This window comes from Homo sapiens, chromosome 10 (assembly GCF_000001405.40).
Source record: "Homo sapiens chromosome 10, GRCh38.p14 Primary Assembly".
Lineage (NCBI taxonomy): Eukaryota > Metazoa > Chordata > Mammalia > Primates > Hominidae > Homo > Homo sapiens.
In genome coordinates, this window is record NC_000010.11 from 93590087 (window position 1) to 93605357 (window position 15271).

At 47.1% G+C, this 15271-nt stretch overlaps 1 protein-coding gene across 3 annotated transcripts; it reads right to left on the bottom strand.

Annotated features, from left to right (window-relative positions):
- Window positions 1608-11658, bottom strand: RBP4 (retinol binding protein 4). 3 transcript variants are annotated; one of them, NM_001323518.2, is made up of 6 exons: window positions 11580-11658; window positions 10832-10885; window positions 10581-10717; window positions 10307-10413; window positions 3737-3949; window positions 1608-2026 (listed from the first exon to the last, which is right to left on the bottom strand). In NM_001323518.2, the coding sequence occupies exons 1-6, from the start codon at window positions 11628-11630 to the stop codon at window positions 1989-1991; spliced, it is 600 nt and encodes a 199-aa protein (NP_001310447.1). In that variant the 5' UTR covers window positions 11631-11658; the 3' UTR covers window positions 1608-1988. The 3 variants fall into 3 exon arrangements, with proteins under 3 accessions (NP_001310447.1, NP_006735.2, NP_001310446.1); NM_006744.4 differs by lacking the exon at window positions 11580-11658 and adding an exon at window positions 11085-11149 and having other exon boundaries at window positions 10832-10960; NM_001323517.1 differs by lacking the exon at window positions 11580-11658 and adding an exon at window positions 11276-11427 and having other exon boundaries at window positions 1750-2026; window positions 10832-10960.

The window sequence follows — 15271 nt, forward strand, 5'->3', positions numbered from 1 at the left end:
ATTGAAGCGGCATTGCTGTCTGGGGTAAATAACCGGGGTTTGTCATCTTGCGCCAAGAGGATTAAGGACACGGACATATGTGGGTGGGTTAAGGAACAGAATGTTTAATAGGCAGAAGAAAGGAGAGAGGAGAGCAGCTCTCTCTCTCGTGAGACAGAGGCATCTGAAAAGGGAAAAGTGGTGGACCACAGCGTATTTTATAGGCAGGCTTGAGGAGGTGGTGTCTGATTTACATAGGGCTCACAGATTGGTTTGACCAGGTGTGACGTTTACGTAGTGCACGAGAAAGGCTGGCCACCCCACCCAAATCTGATTATGCAAATGGACTTTCCACTTGGCCATCTTGTCTTCTCCTTACTGCACTCATAGCTGGCAAAAAGAGAAGACGGAGCCGCCATTTTGAACATGCTTAGTCTTAGGTAGTACATTCCAATGGACACAACTGCTGGCATTCACCCATGCAAGCTTCCAACTTGCTTGTCTATGTCTGCAGCACGATTTTACAGCTGCTTTTTGTTAGAAAAGGATTTAGGGGCTGCTTTTCATTAAAAGGAAAATCTTACCAAGGACTTCCATACCCTCACTATCTGCCCGAGTAATTTCTTTTTAACTCCTATATCATTATGGTTCTCTGAGGTTGTCAAACTGAAGCTGCGGAGCAAGGCTCTGACAGCCTGTGGTTCCGTGAGAGAGGAAGGCAAAGCTCTCCCATGCACATCACCTGTCTCCTCTGTCTTTGGTGGAGAACACTAGCATGGGGCCCCCGGGAGCCTCCCACGGTCCCTGGATATTCCAACACCCAGGCGGAGATCTGTGACCCTTTCCTCACTCCCAGTGCATTTCATAGACATCAGCCTGGCATCACCGGTTTCACAGCTCCCCAGAGCTCTAAGGGACATTGCCTAATTGAATCCTCACTGCAGCCCATCAGGCAAGGACTATTTTCCCTTATCTCCCAAGAAAAGAGTGAGGCTCAGATAAGCCTTGTAACCAGCCCCAAATCCACAGCTAATATATATCTGAAGCAGATTTGCACTTACACCAAGACCCTCTGGTACCAAAGCCTTGCTGCTTTTTTCAAGATGAGAAATGGAGGCCCCTGGGAACGCCTGGAAAACTGAGGCAAGTGGCCTTGCACCCATACACTAGGGTTCCCACGTGCTGCTAATGATGCAGGATGCTGGTGCTCTGTCCCAGCCCCTGCAACTCACCCCCTACCCAGCCCCTCCCTGCATTCCGGGTAGGGGGTGCTCTGATCTTTCCTATAGAATGAGATTCCAGAGCCCCATCTTCGAATTTCCCCAGAGGCCTCCCTCCTCCCCATCAACATTTTGCCTACACCTGAAAGAGGTGAGCTGCATGCTAGAGACAATAAAGGGCTAAGGAGTGTTTCCTAGAGCTCACTTTGTCCCCTGTGGCTCAGCCTCTCAAATCCAGCACTGGTGAGCTGCCAGCCCGCCCACCTCACTCACAGGCCTAGGGCTGACTGAGGACTTGGGCTCACTGGACTGACCTGTCTACTCACTTCCTCTTTTGGCACCAGTGCTTTGGCCAGGCTGGTAGGTAAGGCTTCCCTAAGTTAAAGAGGAAACTTCCTTTTCAGGAAGTTGGGAGAAGCCAGTATTTAATAATGGAGATTAGGCACTAGAACAGGCCAAAGGTCAGAAAGAGCCACGTGCTCCTGGTATAAAGAAGCGCACCCCACCCATCCGTCTGCAGCACAGACATAAACACAAATGAAAACTAAAATCACAGGACACGGGTGACTATAGTTTAATGAATCAGAGTCTGGAATCTTAAGCCCCAGAAACTTTCAGGAAAGGCAAGCAGATTCACTGACCCCCACGTGTATCTTTATGTGTAATGAAGGTTTTATGGGAACTGAGGGAAGATGGGGAGAGAAGGGCAAATTAAACTCCTAAGATAAATAGAGCTGAAGACTGAGAGCTAATCAGAAGTTCTCAGATGAAACTAGATTCTTGATATTGCTACAAAAGGTTTCTTTCTGATCTGCCATCGCAGTAACCTGGAAAATACAAAACAAAGCCATTAACGACAGAAAGTGGACCCAGTTTTTATGTAGATAATGAACATCATGATGGCCTTAGAGCTGGCTTCATTCAAATGCTTCTTAATTCAAATGCATCACAGCAGATTGCAACCCTTACGGATACAGGTGGCTGTAATTCATAAACACCTTCAAGGCTGTTTCTGAAACCCACTGAATTTTCTCTGGACGTAATGGGGGTGGAGAGAATATGACTTGCTGGATGAACAGGGCTTCCTTTGATTTCTCTTAAGTCTGCCTTATTGCATTTCAAAGTGTCGGAGGCCACCCTCAGCTTTCAGGAAGTGGGAGCCAAGGCAGCCTGACCTGGGACACACTGGTGATGGTTTTATAAAGTGCTTCTATGTCTCATGTCATGTGTCACCAGATGGTGTGGCACAAGGGACTTCAGAGTCACAAAACTCTAGGTTTGCATCCAACTCAGCTACCTATTAAAGATTTAGGGCAACTTTCTTCCTCATTGTCAGCCTCTGTTTTCTCATCTGTACAATGTGCATAATCTGCTTCCTACGGTGCCCTGCTGTGGTGGAATCCTTGCTGGCCCTACATTTAATTTTGAAGGGTGAAGCTTCAAAATCAATTTGATTTTGGTCTAAGTTCCCATCTGTTTGGTGTAGTGGGTCAGTTCGTGACCAACAGAAATGCTCCATTTTGTTTGATTATTATTATTATTATTTTTTTGAGGCAGAATCTTGCTCTGTTGCCCAGGCTGGAATGCAGTGGTGCAACCTCAACTCACTGCAGCCTCCGCCTCCCGGGCTCAAGTAATTCTCCTGCCTCAACCTCGTGAGCAGCTGGGATTACAGGCGCATGCCACCACGCCTGGCTAATTTTTGTATTTTTAGTAGAGATGGGGTTTTGCCATGTTGGCCAGGCCAATCTTGAACTCCTGACCTCATGTGATCAGCCCACCTCGGCCTCCAAAAGTGCTGGGATTTCAGGTGTGAGCCACCATGCCTGGCCCATTTTGTTTCTCTACATTTTAGCATTACTGTATTTGGATTTTGAAACCCAGTATCCCATAGCAATGAGTGAGTGTCCACTCAAACTAAATGGAGCTCTTTCCTGCACAATGTTCCTGGCTTTAAAATCAAGATCAGACAAGGGTAATATCTCCTAAAAGATCCTATGGTTGTTCCAGAGAATCTCAAAACCCCCAACTGAGGAAACCCAGCTAGACAATGTCATGGCTATTTGGTTTCATATAGAAAAAAGAAGGTGCGTTGAAATCATTCTCTTTGGAGCTTACTACATTGATGCCCCCTGTGGAGTTTTTACGTCAATGGCCACATGAACTGCCCACCTCTTTACTGGGCTGCTCAATCCCAAACAATCTTAATTCAGTCACAATGGTTTTTTGGGGCAGTGTAGCCAGGGGTGACCACAGAAATGGCCCGAGGAAGCAGAATAAAAAGAAAAGAGAGCCCACGGCAGTGTTAGTGCCAGTGAACTGGACAAAGGCCTTTACCCACACCTGCATGAGCCCTATGAGAAGGCCAGTGAAAAATCTGGCCAAGCAGGATCTGGATTTGGCCTCAGAAAGGGGCTCCCAAGAACCCCTGTTTTCTCTGGGGTACGGACAAAATGAATTTCACTAGCACGTGGGCCCCTTAGTCCAAACCCACTGCCCTGCAGGAAGAGCCAGAAGGCACCCTGCTCCTGACTCACCGTTGTGGACGATCAGCCTGTACTGCCTGGCCAGGCACAGCTCCTCCTGCCGCTGCCTTACAATCTTCTGCGCTTCTGGGGGCAGGCCGTTGGGGTCCCGGGAAAACACGAAGGAGTAGCTGTCAGCACAGGTGCCATCGAGGTTCAGGAGGCGGCAGGAGTACTGCACGGCATACGTGTCGTAGTCTGTGTCGACGATCCAGTGGTCATCATCTGCAAGCCAGAAAGCCACCATGCCGATCAATGCCTTTCCCTCATGGGCTCAGATGTCGGAGAAACTCACGACCAGGCCTGAGAACACAGTGACTTCCAGAAGCTGGTTTTATTTCTTTAGGAAGCAGGACACTTCAGAGAATTCTGACAACTTTTATAAAATTTGGCAAATCAGAAAGGATCTTGTTCTCCTTTATTGAAAAAAATCTTGGAGTCAGGGAAATCTCATTCACTTCAATCATCATCTGTCCCTGTGATTATGTCAGCATAATGTGACAGCATCTTTCCAAAGAACCACCAAGAATGTGGGCTCATCAAAACCACAGAATAAACCGTTCTACTGTCGCTTCACCATCTACTCTCCAATAATATCTGTGTCTTTTGTGGCTAATATCTGATGGCCACCAACTTATGTTACCCCCAATATTGGCTTATGTCTTTCTCGATCTCTATCGCTGGTTCCTAATCAACTCACTGACCGGGCTGCCCCCCGCTCTCTCAGTCCTCTGGAGGATGCCACGCCCATGGTCACGGCTTCTCTGGCTCCATCCTAATTCTGCTTATTAATGCTACTCACTTCTTTGTGCCGGCAAAGAGTAGGTTTTGCCTTGAGGACACAAGAGGCCCACCATCTGGCATCAGATATTCCTTCTCAGACCTTGTCCTCTTCACAACTCACAGAGGCAGAGCTGAGCCACTGAATTTAGATTATATGTATTCCTCAAGGCTGAAATGTAAGCCATGAAGAATAAGAGTAAATGAAAGTGGTAAAAATATCAACGAAGGCAGGAGAGGAAAGAATGTTAATTAGAGTATATGTGTGGCCGGGCACCATGGCTCGTGCTTGTAATCCCAGCACTTTGGGAGGCTGAGGTGGGAGGGTAACTTGAGGCCAGGAGTTTGAGACCAACCTGGGCAACATAGTGAGACCTGGTATCTATGAAAAATGAAAATAATTAGCCAGGTGGGGTGACATGCGTCTGTGGTCTCCACTACTTGCGGCTGAGGCGGCAGGATCGTTTTGAGCCCAGGAGGTCAAGGCTACAATGAGCTAGGTTTGCACCACTGTACTCCAGCCTGAGTGAGAGTGAGATTCTGTCTTAAAAAAATAAAAAAGAAAGAAAAAAAGAATGTATGTGAGCGATTTGCCACAGAGAAAGAACAGTGTCACCCTGTATTGAGATAAAAGTGCCACATCTCTACTTAATTTAACCTTCTTGTTGACACAATACCATGATTGGGACTTTCTGAGCACTTAATTATGTGCCAGTCACTGTATGGACACTCCCATTTGTTTTCTCGGTTACCTCTCACATTGATCCAAAACTGCACACTATCATCCTCTACTTTACAGGTGAGGAAACTGAGGCACAGAGATACTTAATAATTCACCTAGGGTCACAAAGAGCAGGGCAGAACTGGGATTCAAGCAAGGGAGTGTGATCCCAGAGCCCACATGCTTCACCTCTACACCACACTGTCTCCAGACAATCAGTACACTGACGGGAGAGGGGCAAGAAACAAAAAGGCTTTGTGTCTCCATCTCAGGCTCAGGTGTTGGAGCAAGGGGTGATGCTCCCTCTGCAGTGTTCCAGTTGGAGAAGCGCAGAGGGAACTGGATCCCCCAGCGTTAGAGGGTGTAAGGCCACCTGGAATGCTGGTCCTAAGTTGCCTCTGGGTGTGCCTCTCTGAGAACCCCTGGAGTGCCAGCCTAGGATGGGGTTCAGCCCAAACCCAGGCTCTGCAGGGGGGCTGTCACAGGAGTGGGTGTGGAGCCCCTCTCTTCAACTCACCCTAGGCCTGCCAGGAGAATGAGCCACTCCTGTGCCTTGAGGCTGTTCCAGGGTAACAGTGTCAGAGGTGGGGCTGAGGAGATGTTCCAGAACCATGACTGCTCAGCAGGAACCATAAAGTTATTCAGCAGAAAGGCTGGGAACAGAAGCCACAGGGCTGCCTGCTGGGCCTCACCCTAACCACTGACTCCCCTCACAGGCTCCAGAGTATCTGGGTGGTCTTCCTCATCCTTGGATGAAGTCATTCTTTCCCTGGTTACGAGGATCACAGTGTCTGTCACAGGCACCCTCAGACACAAAAACACTTGCCTTTGAAATGTTACCTCGACTCATGATCCAGGCAGCTATTAGCTTGGCCGATCGGCAGCTTAACTTTTTTTTTTTTTTTTTCCTCCAAAATGGTCGCCATCATTTAAATTTTGACAGAGGAATTAAGTAACTTTCAATACTTGGATTTAGTAAAATTGGCTACTGTTCTTGACTTTAAAAGAAGGCCTAAGTTGGTTTGGTTAATCTCCAGGCTCTTTTGGCTGAATAATTCAAAGACGAGGAATTTAAATCATAGTGACCTTGACCAGGCTCTCCCTTTTAAGAGTATTTGCAAGAGATGAACTGCCAGAGCACTGCGAGAATGAGGTTGGTTCTCTAACCTCCTCACACCCGGCAGCTGGGCAGGGCTCCTCTGGAGAACCAGACACCCCCAGCCATTTCCAGACTCCAGCTAACCGCATGCAGTGGAGCTAGGGACAGAGAGCGTTGGAGGCAGTGGCTGTGTGGCTGGGAGCCCCTGCCTCCCCTCTACCATCCTAGGAAGTGGGGTCATGCTGCAGCTGTGTGTATACTGTACCTACACAGACTGGTTTAGCGGTTTGGACTGCCAGTCCCAAAACCAAAGAAAATGCTTGGTAGAGGGCGCTGTCTCAGGCAACCTGGTTCCATTGGTCTGTTCTGTTGCTCACTGCTGTGGGCCTGGCATGTGTCCTTTCAGCTCCCTAAACCTGCATGCTCCAATCATCTAAAGCAGCAAGACCAGGTGGGAAGCTCCCTGTGGTTCTCAGGCCTAACAGTCCAGCTGAGCCAGCCAGGCAACAGATTCAATGCTATTTCTGATGCATTGTCAAAATACCCCAACAGGCCCCAGAAAAGTGAGTGGAGTCTGAGGCCTTGATACCTGAGTAAGCCAAGCTCTTCAGATTGAATTATCTAGACCAGTGGTTCTCAAACTTCATTGTGCAGAAACAGCATACCCAAGGAGCATACTTAAAATGCAGATTCCAGGGCCGTGCCCTTAGAATTTCTGACTCCATAATTCTGGGTTTGAGTCCAGAAATGTGCATTTGTTAACAAGCACCCTAGTGTATTTAGATATAGATGGAGCAGGAACCCTGACTTTGACCAACACTAATGTAAACATTCAGGCTTGCATTGTTATTCAGTCTGACAAGGGCCCCTTTACTAGCAGAGTGACAGACTTCATCTGACAGAAGGACACAAGGAGAGTCTTTGTCCAGGTCTTTCTACAAGAGCACAAAACAATGATGATATAACTAATATTTATTGAGCACTTACTATGCACTAGGCTAAGCATTTTCACAAATTACCTTAATTAGTCCTTCCAATGATTCTATGAAATAGAAACTATTCTTTATCCCCATTTCATAGTGAAGGAAGTCAAATCTCAGGGAGGCTAGCCTGTATTCAACCAAGACCTGCTGATGGTAGTATCCTCAACCCCTGAGACATCCTGCTTGCTGCTGGTGGAGCCAGAAGGGAAGACCAGTATGGAGCATGCCCAAGGCTGGAGCAGCAAGCCACATCAGTCTGTTAACACTGACATTCAACTGTAGAGATTGATCACATTTAATTTTAAAATAATTCGACAACAAATTTCATGATCGCTTGGCCCTGAGTTACTTTCTCTCCATAAGCGCACCTCATTTTAAACACATCCGTTTGGTGAGATGCAGTGTGTGGAGCAGGGGAGAGGCTGAGGATGCAGCCCACTCTTGGAGTGGCCTTCAAATCCCTCTGTCCAAGTCAGTGTTTAAAGCAAGACCATGGTCAGGGAAGAAACTGGCACGAGGAATGAAAGTAGAGTTTGTTAAGATGACCCCAAAACAAGCATGTAAAACAGAACAAGGTAGGTGCATCAAGCCATGCCATTTGCGAGATACTCAGAAAACAAAGGCATTGTTTGTGCCTTTTTACAAGCCATGGGTTAAGAGGTGTCACTAAGTGCCAAAAATTCACCCTGTGCCCCTAGGCCAGTCACTTCTCTATGGGCCCCAGTTTCTTCACTTCTAAAACAAGAGACTTGAACCCAGTGGTCTCCATGGGTCCTCCCATTCTAGACCCAGAATCTAAAGCTATGATTTCACGACCAGGGAGATAACTAAGCAGCCATCATATCAAACACTTACAAAGAACTCATGTCTCAGGCACTGTTCTGAGTGCTTTCTGCCTGTTGACTCATTGCATCTTGTAACACAACTCTATGAGGTAGGTTCTATGATCGTTTCACTTTGCAGATGACGAAATAGGCACAGAGAAGTGAAGGAACATATCTAAAGTTCCACAAGTAGTGGTGGAGTTGGGATTTGAACTTAGGAGGTCTAATTTTAACCGGGCGGGCTTAACTACAACACTGCACAGCTTCTTTTTTGAAATGTAACCTAAGAAGGAATTTATCCTTAAGCCTTCCATATTATAGTCATCTCACTTAATATCTATAGCAATCACTTTCAAGATGGCAGTACTTTTTCGCCCTCCAAATGAAATCCTGATAAAATACCAATATACAAGAGACAAAAGCAAACTAATCTGGTTTGATAGGGGGAGGAGGCAAGAAACAAAATGCTCCCTTCTCATTGGGTCCTCTCTGACCCTGTGCCTAAAGGCATTGCCAACAGAATCCTAGTCCATTAAGGAGCACATCTCAAAATGCTATAGAACATATGTGTTTCCTCTTTCTAAAAATTAATAATCTTGTACCTCTGGTATTGATTTTTGTAATCCATTATCAGAAAAGTATATTTTACTCTAAATAAATCACTTTGGGATGTTTTGCTGCACTATTTGAAATAATTTTTATTATTTCCAAGGATAATAAATAAAAATAAAGCTTCTAAGCTTTTTCTCTACCAGGTATGGTGGCTCATACTTGTAATCCCAGCACTTTGGAAGGCCGAGATGGGAGGATGGCTTGAGCCCAGGAGATCAAGACCAGCTTGGGCAAGCTGGGGAGACCCTGACTCCACAAAAAATACAAAAATTAGCCAGGCATGCTGGCCCATGCCTGTAGTTCCAGCTACTCAGGAGGCTGAGGTGGTAGGATGGCTTGAGCCCAGGAGGTTGAGGCTGCAGTGAGCCATGATGGCGCCACTGCACTCCAGCCTGGGTGACAGTGAGACCCTGTCTCTAAAAAAAAAATAATAATAAATTAAAATTAAAAATTAAATAAAATTTAAAAATGCAATTTCATCCAACACACAACTTTAGAGGAAGTCCAAGAGGGTGGTGTGCCATATATGGAGAGCAAAGGGTTACAATAAAGGACACTTCTACCCTGGATCACCGAGCAGAGAGAGTCTCCCTGAACAACCCTTGGTCCTATCTCACAGAAGAGCTCAAACAATACTTTGCAAAAGCTGGTCTGGATTAGGAGTCCCTGCAGTTCAGGGCCACCTGATCCTGGCCTGAGATTTGGAAGCCTGGCTTCTGACATTGGCTCTAACAAACTTGTTGCATGTCCTTGGGCAAAGTTCTCTTGGCCTCAGTTTATTCATCTACATATTGAACCCCCTCCAAAAGGTTAACTCTCCCTCTCTAAGATTCCATGATATGTGTCCCCTGGCCTGCATTATTCTCTAGCTACCAAGTAGATTCCTGATTTGAAACTTAGGATAAATGGGGAAAAAAATGGGAAAAAGAGCATGTAGACACTGTTTTCTCATGATTAGGCCAAATTTTAGGATGTTCTTCTACAAGTCCTCAACATCACTCCCCTCCACATCTGATTTTCACAGCTTAGTGGAAAGGGAAGAGGCCACAGCCACAGCACACTGTGCCTGGCTCAGAATCTCAGCATCAGCAGGCCAGGCACTTGGGAGGCATCCACCCCTATGCACAGTGTTCCCTCCGTCCTTGGATAGGGCTCTCTCGGCCTCTGTGGGAGCCCCAGATAGTCAAGCTGTCTCAGGGATTCAGCCCAAAGAGACGGAGGAAATGCAGAGCTAGGTGGAGTGGTGATGTGAAAGACAGGAGGAGAAAGCATGGAGAAAGCACACACCTTGGCACAGTGGCTGGTGGGGAAAATGACACCTGACAAACCGAAAGGTCCTTTTGAGCTTAGGCCAGGTTTCTTGAGCTGAGGTTTGGGGAGGGGGTAGGTAGCTGCTCCCAATCTTGTTCCCCTAACCTCAGGTGGTGCTGCGGGTTCCTGACACTTCCAGACCTTTCCGCAGGCCATTCTTCCTAAGGGTAGGTACCTCTGGAGAAGAAACCCAGCGATTTGGCCCGGTAGGCGCCCCATTCCCAAGACAGTCCCACAGAGCTGACTACTCACTTCCTTTCTGGAGAAAGGAGGCTACGCCCCAGTACTTCATCTTGAACTTGGCAGGGTCCTCGGTGTCTGTGAAGGTGCCCACCATGTCTGCGCACACGTCCCAGTTACTGCAAAAGCCAAGGGGATCCTCAGCCAAGCCGGGCAAAGGGCTTCCTCCCTCCCTCCACCCATTCGGTGCTCCCTTCCCTTCACAATGCCCACGTGGCGATCAGCAGGCAGGGCCCTTGGGGAACCCTGGAGCGCAAAGGGCGCAGCTGCCCCGGCGGCCACTGACTTCAAAAGACGGACTCGGCCCTTGGCTGTGGCGCTCATCTGGCCGGTCTCGTCCACGGAGAACTCCGCGACGATGTTGTCCTGCAGAAAGAGGCCCTCGGGGTCCTTCTTGGCCATGGCGTACCAGGTCCCAGAGAACTGTGAGAAGGATGACAGCAGGGGTTTGGCGTCCGGGGGCGCACGGCGGGCCGCGGGGAGGGCGGGGATGGGGTGGGGACCTGGGCCGCCTGGGCCCCCTGGGCCGATACCTACGCGAGCCTTGTCGAAGTTCTCCTTGACTCGGAAGCTGCTCACTCGGCAGTCGCGCTCCGCGCGGCCGCTGCCCAGCGCCGCCAACAGCAAGAGCGCCCACACCCACTTCATCTTGCCCAGGAATCCGCCCTGCGGGAGACGCGCCTCCGTCAGTGCCCGGCAGCCGACCCCCGCCGCCGTATCCCACCTCACCCCACCCCACCCCACCCCGGCCCATCCCGCCGCCGGCCCCGAGGCCCCGGCCGCGACTCACCACCGGGAGGGGAACCGCGCGCAAGCCTGGCCGCCGAGTCCGGGCGCGCGTGGAGCGAGGGAGGCGAGCGCGCCGCGGCCGCCCCGCTGCTTTATAGCGCCGGGGGGAGGGGGTCGCGCTTTCGTAACCGCGCGGGGTGAAAGACCGAAGGGGAGGCGCCGGGGGCACTTGCATAACGCGCCCTGACTCACCGGAGCCCGGGCACGGGCAGGGTCCCTGTGGGCCGGCCTCACCTCCAGGACAGCCTCGGGCACAGTGGAGCGGCCGCGCGGGGTGGCCTCGGCCAGGCCAAATGCGCCAGCGGCCCTGGCTCAGTTACCCTGCACTCGTGCCAGCGGCCGCCAGCTGCGGTCTAGGGTGGCCTCCGGGGCCAGTGGCTCTGGCAGGAGGCTCGAGTCAACCTGGCGGGAAGACCGTGGCCTCACAGAGCGAGAGCGGACCCGCGAGGCTCCCTGGTGCGTGAGTGCCCAGGCCCTGGCCATGCCAAATTGGCGCCTCCGTCTGCCTTCTGAGGTCCACTTGTGCAGGAATTTTGGAATAATTCATCCAAGTAGTTTTTCATTTTATAAAGGATGTATTTTACTCTCTTTCAGGAGCGTTGTGGTGCCCTCTGGTCAATATTTGTTCTTTAGTTTCAACATCTTTAAAAGCGTTAAAACCCTCCCTGTTAAATATTCTCCAGAAACGCAACCCTGGTCAGGACAGGAAATATTTTAGCAGCCTCGGTGGTCGCCTGCTTACTCCGTGGCACTTCCCTGAAACCACTTTGAAAAACACCTACCGATTGTTTATGATGCAATTTTATTTCAAACCCATGTTGGAATTTTCATTTATTTTCAAAACAGCTAAGGTCGGTTGTTTTGTTGGCTGGGGAGTAGACAAAGGAGAGAAGAGTAAACAACATTCTATAACTTCAGTAGCCAATTGAATCAAAACAGTGTGACTAGTTTAGGTATTTTCCTGTGTGATGGCACAATTTACTGACCCTGTTTTTCTCTTTCTGTTCGAAGTTAGAGTTCCACTCGTTTGATCAAAGCAGCCAATCAAAGGATGAGAATGACGGAATGAGAATTCATGATGTGGCAAAGAAGTATCTCTTCTTGAGATTCTTTCCATACAATATCGATTGTGTCTCCATGGCCTAAATTGGAAAGATTCGAGATCAATTTGGGCCATTTTGCTGCAGCCCGACCTGAAATAAGAGGAGATCGGGGAAGAGGAAGGTGGCTGCCAAACAGAAATAAGGAGTTGATTGGTTCTCAGACCAATCCTTTATCTATAGGGCATTAGGGCTAATTCTGAGCATCCTGAAAAGATGACATCTGTGGCTTCCTTCCCCCCTGCTTCTCCATCTTTTTCCCACCTTCCCCTTCACTCTTGCACCCATTTGAGTCCCAGCAGTGTCTGGGGAGCCAACGGTGATGCATTTAACTCCTAACCGCCGCAGAGCTAGGAAAGCCTGTTTCTGGACAACAAGCTGACTAGGAAATCTTCTGATTGGGCCAGTTTTATAGAAGACTGTGTAATCCCAAACAGCTCAAATAAGTTCTGCTTCAGATCGTCTCCTGCAGGACCCTATGGGGTATATATCTATGCACCCTGGGTGGGAAAGGATTTTAGGGCACCTCTCTATCTCCTGCCCAATACTTGGATCCCCTCTTCGGCATTCCAGAGGAGAGGTCTTCCAGTTTTTGCTCCAGGTTCTTTAGTGATAGAGAGCTCCTAGCTTAGCCCAGTTGCCTTTGGACAGTTATTCCTGCCAGAAACGTTCTCCTAATACCCCCTGGCCTTGCAGCCATTTCTCCTAGAACACATTCTGGTGGCCCTTGCACACACTGTAGGTTGAATAATGAAGGGTATTTCAGTTCATTTCGATGATGGTTTTGATGCAGCAACAAGTTTTCATTTATTTGTTGGGTGTTTAAAGGTTGTTTCAGAGTAAAAATTTGAGGTGAAAAAAGAAAAAAGAAAGTTGGTGTAACCATTCCTCTGCCCCTCCTCTTTTAATGATAAATCATGGACCTTAGTGCTCCAGATACCAGCAGAGGAAAACAGTTTACTTTGGCATTCTTTCTAGGATTTCTTCATGATTACAAATAAGTTAATTCAGGTCAACTGATGTTCTTAACTTCAGTACTTTGGAAAAAATCCTCATACATTAACTTTTCAAATATGTGTATATGTAAAGTCAAAAGGAAAAATGTTCATAGTGAATATCTCTGTGAGATAGGATTAGGGACGCTGAAAGATTTTTTCTTTGCGCCTTTTTGTATTTTTAAAATTTTCTATGATGAAAACGTGAATCAGAAAATAAAGCAAATATTTCCTTTACAAATATTTTTCTTGCTCCTTTTCCTGTAGGTAAAATTATGTTTTAAATTACATCTTATAGATCGTATATAATGTACACAAAATTTCATTCATTTCCTTGCCATGCTTCATGGAGAGACAGACCATGTTTCTTTCATTCATCTTTGTACCTGTCCCCATTCTCCCCACTTTTCCACTGGGTATATCAAGAGACTTGTTCATAGTAGGTGCTTAATCAATAGATATAATTTCTTTTACTGAAATTAGTCACTCTATGCAAACTCCATAAAACATTTATTTTTAAAGACCTGTTCAGAGTTCACCCTTTCTAATATATAATTCCTCAGGATTTAGTACTTGTAGCACAGGTGGCTACTTGGCCTTTCACCAGAAAATTTGCAGTCCCCTTCCATGTTGTAAAGTTGGGGACTACCAGTCTGCCAGCCCCTGCCTTCCCCGTCCCCACTTCCCGAAGCTCTGTAAGGCCACGAGCCTTCTGGCCAGCGGAAGGGGCTGTGTCACTCCCAGGCAGAGCTCAGAAAAGCTGCCCGTTCAATTGTTCACATCCTCTCTTTTCTTCTCTTATCTGCCAGGGTCCCCACTGGTGACTGACTTTATGTGAATGAGAGATGAGCTTCCACTGGATGAAGCTACTGAGATTTGAGAGGTTACCTGTAACAGAAGTTGCTGTTACCTTAACCTTCACAGCATCAAACACATCACTAACTCCTAAAAAAGACTGAAAAGGGTTTTACCATAACTCACAGAACTAATGCAAGACATTTGTGTCCTTACCCTCATGAAAATTAAGCACTAGCAACCAGCTCCATTTTATACAAAGTAACATTTATACCCACATCTGGACCGAGGCCAAGAAAAATGAAAAACAAGGAAGTGGAGCAGCATTTATCTTCTGACTGCATTTAAAAGATGTCAAAATAATTGGTTGAAAAATGGAAAGGTTAGTCAGTCCATGTTTTCAGGTACAAAGAGATAAATTAATTTTTTCAATACGGTGTTCTCAGTGGTTGCAGTCATCAGACCATCACATCAATTTGGATAAAAATAATATGGTTTTCACCAACCAAATTGTCTCTGAGATACCTGGTTATACCCCCAATTAAGTGCAGGCACAGGGCTTTCATGAGAGCAAATGTGCAGATGGAAGGGTCCTGTGCAGTTGGCTGCCAGATGTGCCTGAAATTCCTACCTACAGGGGGTCCTTTCCATGATGGGTAATTATAGGAACAGATAATCTGGCTAAGGTGGAACTGAAGAGTGGGTTCAGTATAATAATGTGAAATACACTTAATTAGCCCAGGATATTGTTGATTTCTGTGTTGGTGCTTCTACCTCGTAGGCATATGTTTTGGCTATTGTATAAGCATAACTTCCTGTAGAAGTCATTAACTGCAGCAAAAAAATTTAACAATGATGGAATTAGAAATTACGCGTGCTCATTTATGTAGAGTACTACTGAAAACTTGTTTAAGCAGAAAGTTTAAGGAAGTTAAATCATTCTTTGTGGATTTTTAAAAAGATTGTCTGGAATTTTTATTTCACTCTTGTATTAGTATTTAACATTTTATGATATTTGTCTAGATTTCAAAATCTTCAAAGAAAGAGTCTTTGTATATCTCCCTCTAGCATCAAGTACGAAGTCTAGTTCACCTCATGTGCACATTTTTTAATTGAGCCATATTTAAACTGGTAGTTTTAGAGTAGGTTACTATCACTTGCTGGCTATGACCTTGGGCAAGCTAACTTAATTTCTGTGTGCCTCAGTTTCTCACCTGTAAAATGATAATGGTACCTACCTTATAAGATTGTAAAAATTAAATGAGATAGGCCAGTCACGGTGGCTCACTCCTGTAATC

Bases quoted from the DNA above. Each gene is read 5' to 3' on its own strand.
- RBP4 (NM_006744.4), bottom strand. From the start codon at position 10,942: ATGAAGTGGGTGTGGGCGCTCTTGCTGTTGGCGGCGCTGGGCAGCGGC. The intron at 10,718-10,831 runs GTAGGTATCGGC...TCCTTCTCACAG, and splicing joins AGAACTTCGACAAGGCTCGC to TTCTCTGGGACCTGGTACGC. The intron at 10,414-10,580 runs GTCAGTGGCCGC...TGGCTTTTGCAG, and splicing joins GGCCGAGTCCGTCTTTTGAA to TAACTGGGACGTGTGCGCAG.